The 17,511-nt window shown below is 36.4% G+C and overlaps 1 protein-coding gene and 1 long non-coding RNA gene across 5 annotated transcripts in view; one reads left to right on the forward strand and one right to left on the reverse strand.

The window, feature by feature from the left end:
• The window catches only part of LRP1B (LDL receptor related protein 1B), a 1,899,594-nt gene that overhangs the window by 1,503,444 nt on the left and 378,639 nt on the right, over positions 1-17,511 (reverse strand). The window lies entirely within an intron of this gene.
• The window catches only part of LOC107985779 (uncharacterized), a 151,402-nt gene that overhangs the window by 123,419 nt on the left and 10,472 nt on the right, over positions 1-17,511 (forward strand). For both annotated transcript variants that reach the window (XR_007087247.1, XR_001739132.3), the window contains one exon: positions 13,572-13,721. This is a non-coding gene — a long non-coding RNA (uncharacterized LOC107985779). The remainder of the gene's footprint in view (positions 1-13,571; positions 13,722-17,511) is intronic.

Genomic DNA, 17,511 nt, shown 5'->3' on the forward strand with positions numbered 1-17,511 from the left:
ACTGGAGCCGTTTGAAAAGAAAGGATGCTAACTTTTGGCCAGAACTGAAGTCTGTAGAGACATTGTGTTTGTTTGTTTTTGTAAAATTGAATTAATTTAAATTATAACCATTGAAATATGGTGCTTTCCCTCAACAGCCATTTGAATATTGAAAATCTTATAGTATAGCTAATCCTACTCCAGCTATATACCATTGTAAGTAGGAAGAGTTTGTCCTTGGAGAAGCTTTAAAAATCATTTTCTCCCCTATGCTTGGAGGGTTTTGTTTCATTTTGTTTTTTGTTTGTTTGTTTGTTTGTTTGTTTGTTTGAAAATGATACATCTGAAAGACAAAGCCAGACACAAAAATAGAAAGACAGATCTGTTGGGATGTAATATTCAGAAGAAGGGGTGTGGAAAGGAAATATAGATGGCATGGCATAAGAGATGAATAAGTAAAACAGTTAGAGGTCAGCATGGAGAAATCACTGAGGGAAGACCCTAAAGGGGGACTTGCCCGGTCTCATTAGGCCCACAAGGAAAGCCCGGGTAAGAGATTACGAAGAGTTTTGTCAACAGGATTCACACATTTTCCAATAGAAGATGGAACTATAAGCAAATCAAGGCAAAGATTTGAGTAAGATCAGCAGCAAACATGTTTTTTTTTTGGGAGGGGGGAGGGATAGGCTGTTTCAAAGCTTAAGAACTGCAATTTATAGAGAACATTGACTGAGAGCCCTCCATTACTGCCCAGTGGAAGATAGAAGTAAAATGTGATCACTGTTACTAATCTATTTAGAATTTCATATAGCAAGGTATTCAGTGAGGTAGAACTTTTTTCTCTTCTGCAGAGCTTTATTTATGGTGGGGTGGGTACATGTGGATATTATATTTAGAAATCTTAATTTCCATTCTTCCGAACATCCAAGAATTTTAGAAACCTAGCAAGAGCAGCATGTCAGCTTGATCTAGACTTAGCTGCTGACTCAGAAGGCCAAGATGGTGCTTAAACATAGGAGCTGTTTGAAAAAAAGGTATGCTAACTTTTGGCTGGAATCAAGGTCAGTAGAGAAACTCTGTTTGTTCTTTGTAAAATTAACTTGCATTAAATTATGTGATGGTTGAAACAGATGATAGTTATACATGAGCTTCTTTCTCAAGTCAAAGACTGAAAGGGAACAGGGCAACTGGGTTTGTGATGCTGGAGACACTGGGAACAATTCTCACCCACTCTCTCTAGGGGCAGGTTGTTCCCAGAAAGAATAGAGGCTAAGTGACTTAAACGGCAGACCCTTGGAAACCCAGACTAAATTGGTGTGGATTTCTCAGGCTGAGAATAAAATTGCCACTTTCTCTTCATAATGGCTCTGGATGGGCTTGTAATATGCATCTGTGGCCACAGAAGTGAATGAAGCTCCTGGATGCTATCATGGGTTGAACTGTGTCCCTCCAACAAGACATGTTGAAGTCTGAAGAAGCCCTGGTACTTGTGAATATAACCTTATTTAAAAATAGTGTTATTGCAGATGTAATTAAGATGAGGTCATTCGAGTTGACCCTAATTCAGTATGACCAGTGCCCTTATAAGAAGAGAGAAATTTGGACACAGAGACACATAAATATGAGAACATCATGTGAAGACACAGAGACAGGTGGAAGATGGCCACATGAAGCTAGTGGCCGAGACTCAAAGTATGCTGTCACAAGCCAAGGTGTGCTTGGGGCTACCAGAACAGTGAGACAGTACATTCTGTTAAGCCACCCAATGTGTAGTGGCTTAAACAGCAGCTCTAGAAAAGCAACGCAGATGCCAACCTCATCACAGTGCCAACAGCAAGTCACTACAGTGGCAGCAGAGATAAGCAGATGATCATCTTTGAACTTTGAACTTCCCAGGAGTCATTTGCATCACCTTTTCTCAGGTTGGTAGCAGTTAAGGCATCTCCCTTCTTCAAAGGGGACTCATAAATTCCAGTGACTTCAGGGGATATCTTGCAATTATCATAAGAAGGGATGACCCCCAAACAGGAGAGAAACATTCTTTCTAATGAAGACTTATGAGACGCAGAATAGTAAGTGCAGCTTAGAAAGGGAACTTAGATTTCCTCTGGCCTCTCAGAGTGATGAAGTCTGCAATAAAATCATACCAAAGGCCAGTCTTCTCTTAGGTAGGAAGAAAACCATGTTCTCCCTTTGGTGGGTAGACTTTTCTAAATGTGGAAGTCGGGCCAGGCACGGTGGTTCACACCTGTAATCCCAACACTTTGGGAGGCTTAGGCAGGTGGATCATGAGGTGAGGAATTTGAGACCAGCCTGGCCAACATGGTGAAACCCTGTCTCTACTAAAAACACAAAAATTAGCTAGGCATGGTGGCACATGCCTGTAATCCCAGCTACTTGGGAGGCCAAGGCAGGAGAATTGCTTGAACCTGGGAAGTGGAGGTTGCAGTGAGCCAAGATCACGCCACTGCACTCCAGGCTGGACAACAGAGCAAAACTCTGTCTCAGAAAAAGCAAACAAACAACAAAAAAGCGGAAGTTGCCTACAGCCCAGTGCTGACTTACAAAAGACTTGGTGCTTACTAGCATACAGAGCTTCTTAAACAAGAGCTGCAGAGAAATCCTCATCAGGAGACTGGAGGAGGCATTCTTAAAATACAAAACAGTTTTCAAGTTCAAGAAATATAATAAATTATTGCCTTCAGGGAAAAAAACTGCATTGTAATTGCATATAATTATGTCAGCTCAGATTGATCTTGTTTACCCCATCATGTTAGAGATAGGAAAACTAAGGGGCATGGGATTACACAATTTTTTGGCAACCTGAGATTTTGCCTCTTGCTTTCTCACACTCACAGAATAGTGGATTGCTTGTAAATCATGTTAGGTAGAGCTCTTCTGGCTGATGCAAGTGTTGCTCCAGTTATTGATATTGGTGCATATTAAGCATCCTCAGAAATGCTTTTTTCTTCCAGTGTTTCACTAAGACTTCTTAGTAGGGAACACCTATCTTAAAATCTCATTTCTTTTTAGTTTCCATAGAAGCCCTACTGTTTTGAGTCATCATGATAGAGTATTTGCTGTCCTATCAATATATCTGAACTAGCCACGTCTTTAATCTAGTTTTAAAATTCAGTTAGAAGAACTGTTGTAATTGCTCCATTTTACTCGTTGATCCTCTCTTGCTGAGCCACATGCAATCTCCAGGAAAAAAAAAAATTGTGCTGTGCACAATATTATCCACAGATCAGTACTACCTATCATAGTATGCTTCAGGAAATAGAAAGCTACACTCTGTACATATGAGAACATTACAGATTTCTATAATATTAGCCCATATATTTAATAGTTATAAAAATTAAAGAAAAAAATTACATCATGCCTAAGCCCGACTCTTATACAAATGGACTATTTTTATTTCTGTATCTCCTTCTCTCCCAATAGAGAAATACTTTCAACTTTCACAAAAATCTAAATGCTGTAATCATCAGGTAACATCAGAAAACTTATTTGTAAGACACACACATACACAATGCAGTGCTCCATGTACAGCTGCACAGTTGAACAGGTTATACACTGTACAATTCCAGAATTATGTCATTCTCATTAGAGTCCCTGAAAATGGTATCGCTTTCTGTTGAACAGCATGCGACAAGTAAGTAGGATACATTGGCCCCGTGATATACATATATGAACAAAAAAGGAGAAAACACAGATGAATCTTATCTTTGTTTAGAATTGACACAAATTCATGATACACCTTTGAAGTTAGTTTAAGTTAGTTTAAATATCAGTTTTCATGGTTAAAGTTAGATTTAATTAGAAAATCCATTCCCAACCAGGATAAGTAGACTTGATCGTTTTGTGTTTTGTCGCTTGATAAGCAGTCTCTTTCGTATAAAACTGCTAAATGGCTACAGCTGTAAAGATGTCTAAAGAAAAATATTGACCTTCTCACCTCAGTTATATTCAATCTTATTCAAATTGCATGTGATTAGGAAATGCCCACATTTGTAAAAAAGCAAGAATAAAATATGTAAAAGGCAACAGGGTCTGCTTTAATATTTTTTCAGTTTGAAATAAACAATTACAACATAGGATTGTTATTACACATATATCCACACAGACACATTGCAAAATATTTTATTCAACACTAACGTATGTACACTCACATAAAGCAGGAATGTAAATGAACATTTACTTCCTACTCAGAGTTCTAAGGAGCAACAAAAGCAAAAAGCTAAAATATGTTACCCTGATGCAAAATGGAGAAAATAAAAACCTTAGGGGAAGATTAAATTAACCTTAAAAATATTAATGGTGTTTGAAGGTAACAATAAAGTTTTAAAGTTTGTTTTTTATTCTGTTATCCTCTTTTTCTTTAAGTGCTAATCAGATCAATAATCTCCTGGGAGGTTGGCAGTACAGTGCTTACTCTACTTTGCTAAACATTTCATTAAACAAAACCTCAAGAAGTACTGAAAAACCAAACAATACTTAAACCCAAAATAAATAAATGAATAAATAAGCACACAAAGATACATCTCTACAAGAAGAAAAATGGGGATTCGTGATCTTATTTCAGAAGACGAACACCTGGATATTGTTTTGTAAAAAAAGACAGTGTCGTGCAGGGAGTCAGAAGTGGTTTTCAATTCTGTTTCTTGTCTCTACTACCACTTTGACTCCCAGCAAATAGCTTAGTCTACCTCTACTTCCATTTCTTCATCTGAAAAATGAGGTCAAATATTGTCTTCACTTGCGAAGTTGTTTAAAGAACTAAACTAATAATAGAAAGAAAGTTGTTAGCATAATTAGATATTATCTACTGGTTGTTTTTTTTTTTTTGCCACCATTAATATAAAAGCTTTGATCAATACCAATGAATAAAAGATATGCAACAGTTTCTTTAAAATAAGGTATTCACCCACATGCATGGACTCAGCCAAATCCATATTGTTCACCCTGAAATATCTTTTTCTGACTGCTGAGCAAACCATATGCCTTTTCCTCCTCAAAGCATAGTTCAAGACTTATTTTCTTTATGATATCTGTCCAGATTAAATACTATATATCAAATCATTATGACAACATTCCTAGAAGTTACATGATGAGATAACTTTTAAAATGTACCACAAATCAATGTTGAAAAGAGGTAAGATAGAATAATAAAGAAAAAATAAAACAAAAATTAATAAGAGGTTTGCGAATCCTTGGAAGAGGGAATTTTAGCTACTCAAAACCATCATTGTTTCATTAAGTGATAATAGATCAATCTAATGCTATCTCCATTTTGATAGCATAATTGCACCTCTAGATCATAGACGTGACAAATTTTGTTATATTTTTATTTCAATAAGATATTCAATAAATTCTCCTGTGTAATCTTTATCACAAGGTTAATAAACATTGGCTAGCAGCTTACAATGGCAGGGGGCCTCCCAAGTAGGTGCACTTAATGGTTTTACACTTTAGTCTAATCAGTGTAATATACTTATTAATAACATGGTTGGGAATATAGAAAATATGCTAATCAAATGTGCAAATAACACTGGGGCAAAAGCCAGTGTACTTAATAATATAATTGTAACTTTTAACATTATTTTTAATTTTTGTGGGTACATAGTAGGTATATATTTTGTCAGTTACAAGAGATATTTTGATATAGGCATGCAATGTGTAATAATCACGAGGGTAAACAGGGCATCCATTACCTCAAGAATTCATCCTTTGTGTTACAAACTGTCCAATTATACTCTTTCAGTTATTTAAAAATATACACATAAATTATTTTTTACTATAGTCGCCCTGTTCTGCTACCAAATACGAGGTCTTATTCATTCTTTCTAGCAATTGCTAAGTGACAGAATTGTGGCTGTGGACTCTGAAGGCATTGGAGACGTTCTGTTAACATAGATACCATGCCACCAGCTAGAGCACTGGCCTCGGAAGCCTCTGGCTCTTAATCCACAAGTCTGCATGGAGCAAATCAGATTGAAAATGTGGAGGATGTCCATGTTTTTTTCCTTTTTTGTACCCATTAACCATCCTCATCCCCCTACCCCCCAACCCACTACTCTCTCTAGTTTCTGGTAAACCAGCCTTCTACTTTCTACCTCCGTGAGTTCAATTGTTAAAATGTTTAGGTCCCAGAAATATGTGAGAAAATGTGAAGCTTGTCTTTTTGCGCCTGCCTTATTTCACTTAACCTAATAATTGCCAGTTCCATCCATGCTGCAAATGACAGGATCTCATTCTCTCTTTATGGCTGAATAGTACTCCATGGTGTATAAGTGCCACATGTTCTTTATCAACTCATCTGTTGATGGACACTGAGGTTGCTTCCAAATCTTGGCCATTTTAAATAGTGTTGTAATAAACACAGGCGTGCAGTTATCTCTTCAGTATACTGATTTCCTTTTTTTTTTTTTTTTTTTTTTTTTTTTTTAGTATATATCTAGGAGTAGGATTACTAGACATTACTGGAGAATATGGTAGCTCTAATTTTAGTTTTTTTGAGGAGCCTCCAAACTGTTCTATAAAGTGGTTCTACAAATTTACATTCCTACCAATAGTGTACAAGCATTCCCTTTTCTCCACTTCCTTGCCAGCATTTGTTATTGCCTGTCTTTTGCATAAAATGCATTTTAACTGGTGAGATATCTTATTGTAGTTTTGATTTGCATTTCTCTGATGATCAGTGGTATTGAGCACCTTTTCATATTCCTGTTTGCCATTTGTATGTCTTCTTTTGAGAAGTGTCTATACAGATCTTTTGCCCATTTTTAAATCAGATTATTAGTTTATTTTATTTAGTTGTTTGAGTTCCTTACATATTCTGGTTATTAATCTCGTCAGATGGGTAGTTTGCCAATAATTTCTCCCATTCTGTAGTTTACCTCTTCACTTTGTTAATTATTTCCTTTGCTCTGCAGAAGCTTTTTAACTTGATATGATCTTCTTTGTCCATTTTTGCTTTGGTCTCCTGTGCTTGTGGGATATTGCGCAAGAAATCTTTGACAACTCCAATATCCTGGGGAGTTTCTCCATTGCTTTCTTTCAGTAGTCTCATGGTTTGAGATCTTAGATTTAAGTCTTTAATACATTTTGATTTGATTTTGTATATGGCAAATGATAGGCGTCTAGCTTCATTCTTCTGCATATGAATATCCAGTTTTCCCTGCAACATTGATTGAAGAGACTGTCCTTTCCCTAATGTATGTTCTTGACACCTTTGTCAAAAATGAGTTCACTGTAGATGTCTGGATTTATTTATGTTTTCTATATTCTGTTCCACTGGTCTATGTGTCTGTTTTTATGCCAGTACCATGCCATCGTAGTTACTATAGCTCTGTAGTATAACTTGAAGTCAGGTAATGTGATTCCTCCAGTTTTTTTTTTCTTTCTTTCTTTTTTTTTTTTTTGAGAAGGAGTCTTGCTCTGTTGCCTAGGCTGGAGTGTAGTGGTGCAATCTCGACTCACTGACACGGCCGCCTCCCAGGTTAAAGCAATTCTCCTGCCTCAGCCTCTCGAGTAGCTGGGATTACAGGCACATGACACCATGCCCCGCTAATTTTTTTGTCTTTTTAGTAGAGGCAGGGTATCATCATTTTGGCCAGGCTGGTCTCGAACTCCTGACCTCAGGTGATTCACCCACCTCAGCCTCCCAAAGTGCTGGGATTAGAGGTATGAGCCACCACGCCTGGCCTCCAGTTCTGTCCTTAGCATTTGCTCAGTAAAGCTTTAGCTATTTTGAGTCTTTTGTGATTCCATATACATTTTAGGATTTTTTTTTGATTTCTGTGAAGAATGTCATTGGTATTTTGCTGGGAATTGATTGAATCTGTAGATTGCTTTGGGTAGTATGGACATTTTAACAATATTGTTTCTTCAAATCCATGACATGGAATATCTTCCCACTTTTTGGTGTCCTCTTCAGTTTCTAGAATGATATTTGATAGTTTTCATTGTACAAGCTTTCATTTCTCTGGTTAAACTAATTCTAGTTATTTTATTTGCAGCTATTATAAAGGGATTAATTTCTTGATTTCTTTTTCAAATTATTCATTGTTGGCATATAGAAATGTTACTGATTTTTGTATGTTGATTTTGTATCCTGCAACTTTACTGAATTTAACAGTTCTAACAGTTTTTCGGTGGTCCTTAGGTCTTTCCAAATATAAGATCATATCATCTGCAAACAAAGATAATTTGACTTCTTCCATTCAACTGTGGATGCCCCTTATTTCTTTTGCTTGGATGATTGTTATAGCTATGTGGGAGGATTGTTATCATGAAGGGATGTTGAATTTTATCAAATGCTGTTTCAACATTAATTGAAATAATCATATGGTGTTTGTCCTTCATTCTGTTGACATGATTATCACACCGATTAATTTACAAATGTTGAATCACCCTTGTATCCTTGGGATAAACCCACTTGGCCATGATGAATTATCTTTGTAATGTGTTGTTGAATTAGATTTGTTAGGATTTTGTTGAGGATTTTTGCATGAATATTCATCAGAAATATTGGTCTGTAGTTTTCTCTTTAATGTGTCTTTGTCTGCTTTTGGTATCAGGGTAACACTGGCCTCCTAGAATGAGTTTGGAAGTAAGTATTCTCTCCTCTGCTTTTTTCTTTTTTTTTTTTTTCTTTTTTTTTTTTTTTTGATTAGTTTGAGTAGAGTTGCTACTGGTTTTGCTTTAAATGTTTGGTAGAATTCAGCAATGATGCCACTGGGTCCCAGGCTTTTCTTTGCTGGAAAACTTTTTATTGTGGGTTTAATGTTATTACTTGTTACTGGTCTGTTCAATAGCAAGCAACAACACTAAAGCCGTAATAAAATGTTCTGGTTTTGGAGTTTCTCATGGCTCAATCTTGGTATGTTGCACGTGTCTAGGAATTTCTGCATTTTTTCTAGATTTCTCCAATTTGTTGGCATAAAGTTGATCATAGTGCCCACTAAGGATCCTTTTAGTTTCTGTGGTGTCAGTTGTAATGCCTCTTTTTTCATCTTTTAATTTATTTATTTAGGTTTTGTCTCTTTTTTTCTTAGTCTGGCTAAAGCTTTGTCAGTTTTGTTTATTTTTCCAATAAACCAACTTTTTGTTTGATTCTTTATATTGTTTTATTTCAATTTCATTTATTTCTACTCTGATCTTTATTATTTCTTTTCTTCTATTTATTTTCAGTTTAGTTTGCTCTGGCTTTTCTAGTTTTTTAAGATGCCTCATTATTTATTTGGAGTTTTTCTTCTGTCCTGATTTAGGCACCATAGCCATAAACTTCTTTTTTAGTACTGCTTTCAGTGTATCCCATAGATTTTAGTATGTTGTGCTTTCATTGTCATTTGTTTCAAGAAATTTTTCAGTTTTTTTCTTTTTTCATTGATCTACTTGTCATTCAGGAGCATACTGTTTAACTTCCATGTGTTTGTATAGTTTCCAAAATTCCTATTATTCCTCTAGTTATATTCCACTGTGATCAGAGAAAATGCTTGCTATTATTTTATTTTTATTTTTTGGAATGTTTTATGACTTGTTGTGTGGCCTAACATATGGTCTATTCTTGAGAATGATCCATGTGCTGAGGTAAAGAATGTGTATTCTGCAGTCATTGGATAAAATGCTTTGTAAATATCTATTAGGTCCATTTGGTCTACAGTGCAGATTACACCCAATGTTTCTTTGCTGATTTTCTCTCTGGAAAAATCTATCTGTCCAATGCTGAAAGTGGGGTGAAGTCACAAGCTATTATCTCTCTCTCTAGCTCTAATAATATTTGCTATTTTGAATTTTCTGTCTAAAAGGTCATACATCTCTGTCTCTCCGGGATTGGACTCTAGTGCCTTATTTAGTTCGTTTGGTGAGGTCATGTTTTCCTGGATGGTCTTGATGCTTGTGCATGTTCATTGTTGTTTGGGCATTGAAGAGTTAGGTATTTATTGTAGTCTTCACAGTCTGGGCTTGTTTGTACCCATCCTTCTTGGGAAGGCTTTTCAGGTATTCAAAAGCACTTGGGTATTGTGATCTAAGCCGTATTTGCATTAAAGCACATCTTAAGCCCAGTAATACTGTAGTTGTTGTTGACTCGTAGAGGTACTACTTGGTGATCTTGGAAAATATCTACAAGAATTCTGTGGATTACCAGGCAGAGACCCTAGTTCTTTTCTCTTACTTTCTCCCAAACAAATGGAGCCTCTTTGTCTGTGCTAAGCTGCCTGGAGCCAGGGATGGGATGACATAAACACCCCTGTGACCACCACTAATGAGACTGCTCTGAGTCTGACCTGAAGCCAGTATAGCACTGGGTCTCACCCAAGGCCCACTATAACCACTACCTGGCTACCACCTATGTTCAAGACCCCAGGGCTCTACAATCAGCAAGTGGCAAAGTCAGCTAGACTCCTGTCTTTCCCTTTATGGCAGTGAATTCCCCCATGCCCCAAGTGGGTCTTTCCAGGAGCCAGGGACTGAAGTGAAAAATATTAGAAATCTACCGGCATGCTCTATTTTACTGCATCTGAGCTGGAACTTAAACTACAAGATGCAGTCCTTCCTACTCTTCCCTCCCCCTTCCACTGGCAGAGGAGCCTCACCCTATGGCCACCACCACCACAGGTCCATAAGGAATACTGCCAGACTACCACTGATGTTCACTTCAGGCCCAGGGCCTCTTTAGTCAGTTTGTGGTGAATGCTGCCAGGCCTGGAACTCTCCATTCAGGGCAGTGAGCTTCCTTCTGGCCCAGGGCAAGTCCAGAAATGCCATCCAAGAGTCAAGGCCTGGAACTGGGTACTCCAAGATCCTGCTTGGTGCCCTCCCCAACTGTGGTTAATTTAGTAGCTAAGGTACAAGGCAAATACTGCTTTATTTTTCCTTCAGCTTTTCTCAAGCAGAAGAAGTCTCTCACTATAGCCACCACAGCTGGCAATATGCTGGGTCTCACCTGGAGCCAGAAAGTCTCAGAGTCTCACCCAAGGCCCATGGTATACTACTTGGATATTGCTGCTGGTTATTCAAGGCCCAAGGGATCTTTAGTCAGCAGGTGACGTATTCCGCAAGGACTGGGTCCTTTCCTTCATGGCAGCAGGTTCCCTTCTGGCCCAGGGTGTTTCTAAAAATGGTTTCTGGGAGCTAGGAATCCCCACTCATCAAAGAGGACTTCAATGCAAGACAAAGTCCTCTTTACTCTTCTCCCTCCTCTCCCCAAGAGGAAGGAAGGGTCTCTTTTGGAGTCAGGAGCTGCGTTCCCTGGGGTTGGGGAAGGGGTAGTACAAGCACTCCCTTAGCCACCTCCATTTGTGTCTCAGTAGGTAGCGTGCCCCCAAGTCCACTGGCTCCAAGCCCAGCTCAGCACTAGGACATGTCTAGGGGTTGTAGTCTTTATGGCCTAGACTGCCTTTCAAGTTTATTTAAGGTCTTGGAGCAATTTAGCCCACAGTGACGGGGCTTGCTGGAACTCATATTCAGACTGCTGGGATGGGCGATTCCTCTCTGGCTAGAGCTCATCTAAATGCTCCCTGTGTGGATGGGTGCTGGCTGAGTTCAGCCCAGTTTTGCTTTCAGCTGTGACAGGGCAGCACTGAGTTCAAAGCAGTATCTCACAATCACTGTGCTGTCCCTCTCCCTAGCACACAGATTCTCTCCATGCCACGTGGCTGCTGCTGGGAGATGGGAGAGGGGTGGCATCCTCAGATCAAGATGGTCTTTTCTAACCTCTTCAGTGCTGCTTTCAGACACATGAAGTTAAAACCAGGTACTGTGAGTGCACACCTGATTTTTGGTTTCTATGCAGAAAAAAAAAACACCTTCACAAGATATAGATAGTTGTTAAATTTGGTGTTCCTGTCCAGGGGCATGGGATAGGCCATCTTGCTCCACCCCCATTTTGAATTATAACTTTAAAAAATGCCAATAAACTAAACTTAAAAGCCCAAAATAAGATTAAATGTCATATTAATACCCTTATGGTATTAGGTGATATTACCTATGTGGTATTAATATCCTTAAGGTGTGGCCGCTAAAATACATATAGATGCAAGTGATATTCCCTCAATGCTTGCAAATAACAATGACTCTAACGGCATCAGAGTTTGCTTAAAAGCATCGAAAATAATTTTGATGAGCGTCCTTCATGTTAAAAAAAATCTGAAAAGCCAAAGATTTGTAAAAGTCTATCCCAAGGAAGGGAAACCTCTTCCCCTTATTTGTCCTTGGCACAGCTGAGTCAGGCTAGAATATTACAAACGATTTTATTAAATAATAAGTGGAACCAAAATTGACTGGAGAGAATATTCTTTTAAAAACCACACAAACAGAATCCTTAAGATCAATTACCACAAGTTGATATGGGGTCAAAGAAAACTACATCCTAAATCCAGAAACCACTTGCACAAAGCTTTTGAGCTGCATTACATATTACACTGAAATGTTAAAACCGGTCTAAAAGCCCAGCTCCACAAATTCAGCAAAAATGTTTTATTCAATTTAATATTTTGTGGTAGATAAAATGAATGTTTTGGAAGATTATGTAAGAAAATGAAAAATGCTCAGGTAGTAATATCAATTTGGGTAGTAAACTGTACATGTGACTATGATTACAACTCTGCAAATATGTGATCTTTTAAAAGAAGCTTGCTAGCTTGACATGGTGGCATGCACCTGTAGTCCTAGCTACTCAGGAGGCTGAGGCAGGAGGACTGCTTGGGCCCAGGACTTTGAAGCTGCAGTGTGCTATGATATCCCGACTGTACTGGGTGACAGAGCGAGACTCTAAATAAATAAATAAATCTAATTAGATTAAATAAGCCTTCTAAAATCACTTTAAAGGTAATATTACAAGACCTTGATAACATTGTGTTTGGGTAATAGGCAAGGAATGATTTATTTCTTCATTTGCTTTTATGAATTTTCTAAATTCTCCTTAATAATTAGATAATAACAACTCAAATTTATTAATGACTATCACATGTATGGTATTTGTTGTTCTTCTTGCATTATCTCACCTAATTCAAGGCAAAGAGATTGTGAAGCAGTTAGTCCTATTATCCATTTTTATAGATGAAGATAAGGAGAGGCATGAAACAATCTAGATTAATGACTCTGAGAATTCACTAGTAGTACCCAGTTGGGGCCTATGATTCAAAATGTGGCAGTTTACTTATAAGGTCCAAACTCTTAATCATCCTAAACTATGAAAGGATGCACAACATAGTCCAGTTTACAAATTATAAAATTTGATTACACCAAAGCTAATTTATAATCTTAATGTCCATATGCCCTACATTTTATAGGCTGAGATAACTAGCAACTTATTGCCAAGGTACTAGTACAATTCTAGCAGTGTGACCTTGGGTAAATTATGTAATATCAATGAGTAGTAATTCCTCATCTAAAAGTAAAAATAACATGTATTTTATAGAATTTTTGTGATGATTAGAAATCATATATATAAAAGGCCTAGATTAATGACTATAAGCATTCATCATTATTGTTGTTGTTAAGTTGTATGGGAAAAATATTTTATCTCTAACCCTAAATATATTTTCTAGCACAAGTTTCCCAATTTAATTGTTTCTCTATTATAGGACACGGATGGAAGATAATAAGTGTAGCTTCTTCCTCTGGGCAAGCGCTCATTATCAAGTGCCTCTGGGCAAGGCACTACATCTGAACACAGCCAGATATAGATGGTCTGTGACAGAAGAAACCTGATGGTCTTACTGAACTCACCCCAGGTACTGTGCTTTTGATATTATTCTATAGTGTAGTCTTTATAATTTGGTTTTCTGTAGCATCCCTGGAACAAGTTCATATGTGCTGGTGTGAGTTTCATTTTGCATGTGCTGCTTTATCATGAACATGGAAGATATACTAGGTTTCTGTGGTAGAAACACTCTGGCCTCTTCCAAAGCAGAAGGCTCTGGGCTGTAGACCTTCAAATAGACGCAAACATGCAAAGCTTTTAAAAGCTCTGACTTCTGGGAATGGAACAAATTGCTGAAATCACTTCTGCCTTGATCCAACAATTCATTATCTCCCAGAAACAGTGGCTTTTATAGCTGCTAAGGGGCTGCTATACTCTTCTAGAAAGAAGGAATAGTCTCAATACAGACATGAATTTTCAAGCCCTTTATTAAAATCTTCAGACTTAATTTTATTTGTCTAAATCTGTAATCAATCTAAGAATGGGATGGAGATATTTTTATAAAACGAATTTAGAAAATAACTAATTTTATTTTACATGAAACAAAATTGGCCCTTTATAATAAACTCCCCAAATATTCCAGAGAAAGAATTATATTTTTATTCCCTCATTATACAGATGGGAAATTATCAAAATGAATATTAAAATCTTGATTCCTATTCATGCTTGATATGGAAAACAAGACCTTGTAAACTTTTAATATTTTCTAATAGACAAGTGTGTAATAATTTACTAAGGGCACCCTATTGTCCTAGATTTATTTTGAGTCTCTTTATTGACGTAATCAGATTAATTTAAGAATGAAAATTAACCCCAACTTTAGAGACAGAAACAACACAAGTCAAGAGTGCTGTCTGATTTGCCTGAGGCCTGTTTTCACCCAGGAAAGAAATGGCACTATTGGTGATTATTTAGTAGGTAAATAACTATAGGTCATGTCTGAATCTAATGATAGGAATACTTTCATCAAACCTAAACTTGAATGATACCATTACACAAAAATGGGGACCAGGAAAAGAGTTCAGTATCTTGATTTTTAAGACATGTTTATATATCTTCAATTAGTGTCTACACAGGGCAATTTTATTTAGATTAGTTAGGTAAGGGGAGAAGGCATGAGAGGATACTAAGGAGAATAGAACTGAGTCAGATTAAAGAAGAATGGAGTCTATGAAGAGAGCTCTGGTCCATATACATATGTATGTAACAGGGAAATGGTTAACTAAATGAGGCTCTAAATTATGAACCTCCTGTGAGGTATGGCTTTACTTGCTGTAAAATATCCTGGGGATTGAAGGTGATAATAATGCCTGGATGCTTGAAACACCCATCACTATCTGAACCAGGAAGTAGTTAGGTGATACTTTTCACTGCTATAAAGATATGAAATGGAGCTTCCCTGCAACAGCAGGATCTTGAACTAGTAACCGGAAGGAAGCTAAGCATTGGCAAACTAAAGACCAGTTTAGCAAATCAATAGCCAGTGAGTGCTCAGTGAGGGGATGATAATGTCTTTATGGTTTTTACTGATTCTGAGGAGCAGCTATACATGTCTGGTATATTTCTCAGTAGAGATATATAGTGTTAATTACCAATTTCCAGAGCGAAGCACCATCTCCTTTCATGGAATCCCCAAATGTATAACAACTTGAGGAGGTCTTCATTGGGAACTTCTTTTCTCTAACTTTGATGTTCACACTCAGGCCAAGGGAAAGATACCCCAGATCCACCTGTGATAATTGCCCTTCTATTTCTAGAAAGATGCTTTTGATTAAAAGTAAGTTTCAGGTGACATCAGCAATCTCTGTACTTTCAAGCTATTTCTTATTCTCTGACTGAAGCTGGATATTAATTCCCAGTCCAATTTACATAGCTTCTTCCCTCTGAAACCAAAAGGAAAAGAAAAGAAAAAAAAGCTTCTCATCTCTTCTTGTCCTTGGACTCCACCGCTAGTCCTTTCTTCAAGCCTTTCAAGCATTAGTCAGTATTTTATTACTGTATTCACACCTCAAAAGAAAAAACAAAAAGAAAACCTGCATGCATTCTCAAAACACCATAAATTTCCTCTTCTTCTATTTGATTATAATGAATAAAGCAATGGGTCTGTCAGATAAACATGATTATATTAGTTTTTTTATTGAAACAGTGAAGCTTTTAAAATTATGTTGTATGATGGTACCCAAAATGAGAATAATGTTAGGAATTTTAGGATTCTCCTTTTATCTATATTCTTTATAGAAAATGTAAAAGAAAAATCAGTGTCATTGAAAAAGATTCATTAGAAAGACAGAATTCATGGATCAAAATAAAAATAGATTTATTGAGCTGAAAAGAGTAGGCAGCATTTTCAAACTTTTTGAATGAATTTCATGATAAAACCTTTACAGTATGTATCTCCTTGCTCCAGGAATTATTACATTTTAGTATACTCATTAATCTCAAGATTATTCACCAGTTATTAAAATTTTAAACATTTAAGTATATATATAAAAAGGATACTATTTTTAACTCTCCCTTTCTGCAGAGAAAAAAAAGCTTTATTTATTTTTGTATTTCTATTCAAAAGAATAGAAGATATACTGGAGGAAAAAGTTAACAAATAAAACACATCAGGAAATAAACTCAATATACTGTCTTTGGGTTCCTTTATTTAGAAATTAAATCAATAAAGGTATTGGTGAATGTATTACACAGTTACTGTTTGAATTTGTAGAATTTAAAAATTTCAGAAAAAAAGCCAATTCTGGAAAATACAACTGAATAACTATGTTTAAAATATTAAAAATGAAATTTAAAAAGAATGCTATGAATTCATCTTTACTGTAGTTTTTTTAAAATCTTAAGATATTTTTGGATCAGTGAAGTCAGAATATGTTGTATGCCAAAATAAATGTGTTGTGATAAAAAATTTACCAACTTCAGGAAGGCATATAGAATATCTCCAAGGCCTGGAGGTTATGAGTGACAACTGTGCTGATTGGAAGTCTGCTTCATAAACTAGTAAGCAGAGCAAACTAGTCATGGCAGAACTTAAATCTAACTATATCACAAGAAGGATTCTCTGTCTTTGTCCCCACCTCACTCCAAAGCATTTTCATGGTCAATTACTCCTGAACAGACTATCCAGAAGAGGAAAATACATAAACAACCTATTTATTCAAAGCTCATCTCAAAAACAAACATAAATAATTTAAGAAGAGAAAAAGGATTTAAATGTGTGCTAGAAAGCATCTAAGCATGGTATTTTCATAGCCTTGAAAATTAAGAATATAATAGTTTCATATTTTCATATCTAGTATGACTGATTTTTTTTTATTTTAAGAGCAGTTTCTTGTGTGTGCTTTTAAATTGTTTCAAATTAACTTTTATATTTAGAACATGGTCATCTCTGTTCCAACATTTTCAAACACCACAATAAACAGCAATCTTTGTAACGGATTAAAACGGGCTTTATAAATTTAGAAAAATCTAAATTACAGATTATGACTTTTCCCAATATACATTAATCACAGTGAAAATGAAATTTAGCTGGTATTTTATATGTAATAGAGGACTATAATTTGTTTTTATACTAGTACTAGTCTTGACCTAAGTATTTACAAATCAATACTAATTTTATATTTAATGGCATCTATAAATGTCTTTATGCAGGAAGTTTAATTTTCTGTGCTGTAGTTACAAATGCATTTTTAAGTACACGGAGAATTTTAAATGGGCAGAAGAGAATTTAAAGGTGCTATTTACATAAATGTAAAAGCCCCTAAAGTGGAGAAATCTCTCATAAGGAATTTCAAACATTTGCTTGACTCTGGAGGCCTGGC

This window comes from Homo sapiens, chromosome 2, assembly GCF_000001405.40.
Source record: "Homo sapiens chromosome 2, GRCh38.p14 Primary Assembly".
In the NCBI taxonomy this organism is placed as follows: Eukaryota; Metazoa; Chordata; class Mammalia; order Primates; family Hominidae; genus Homo; species Homo sapiens.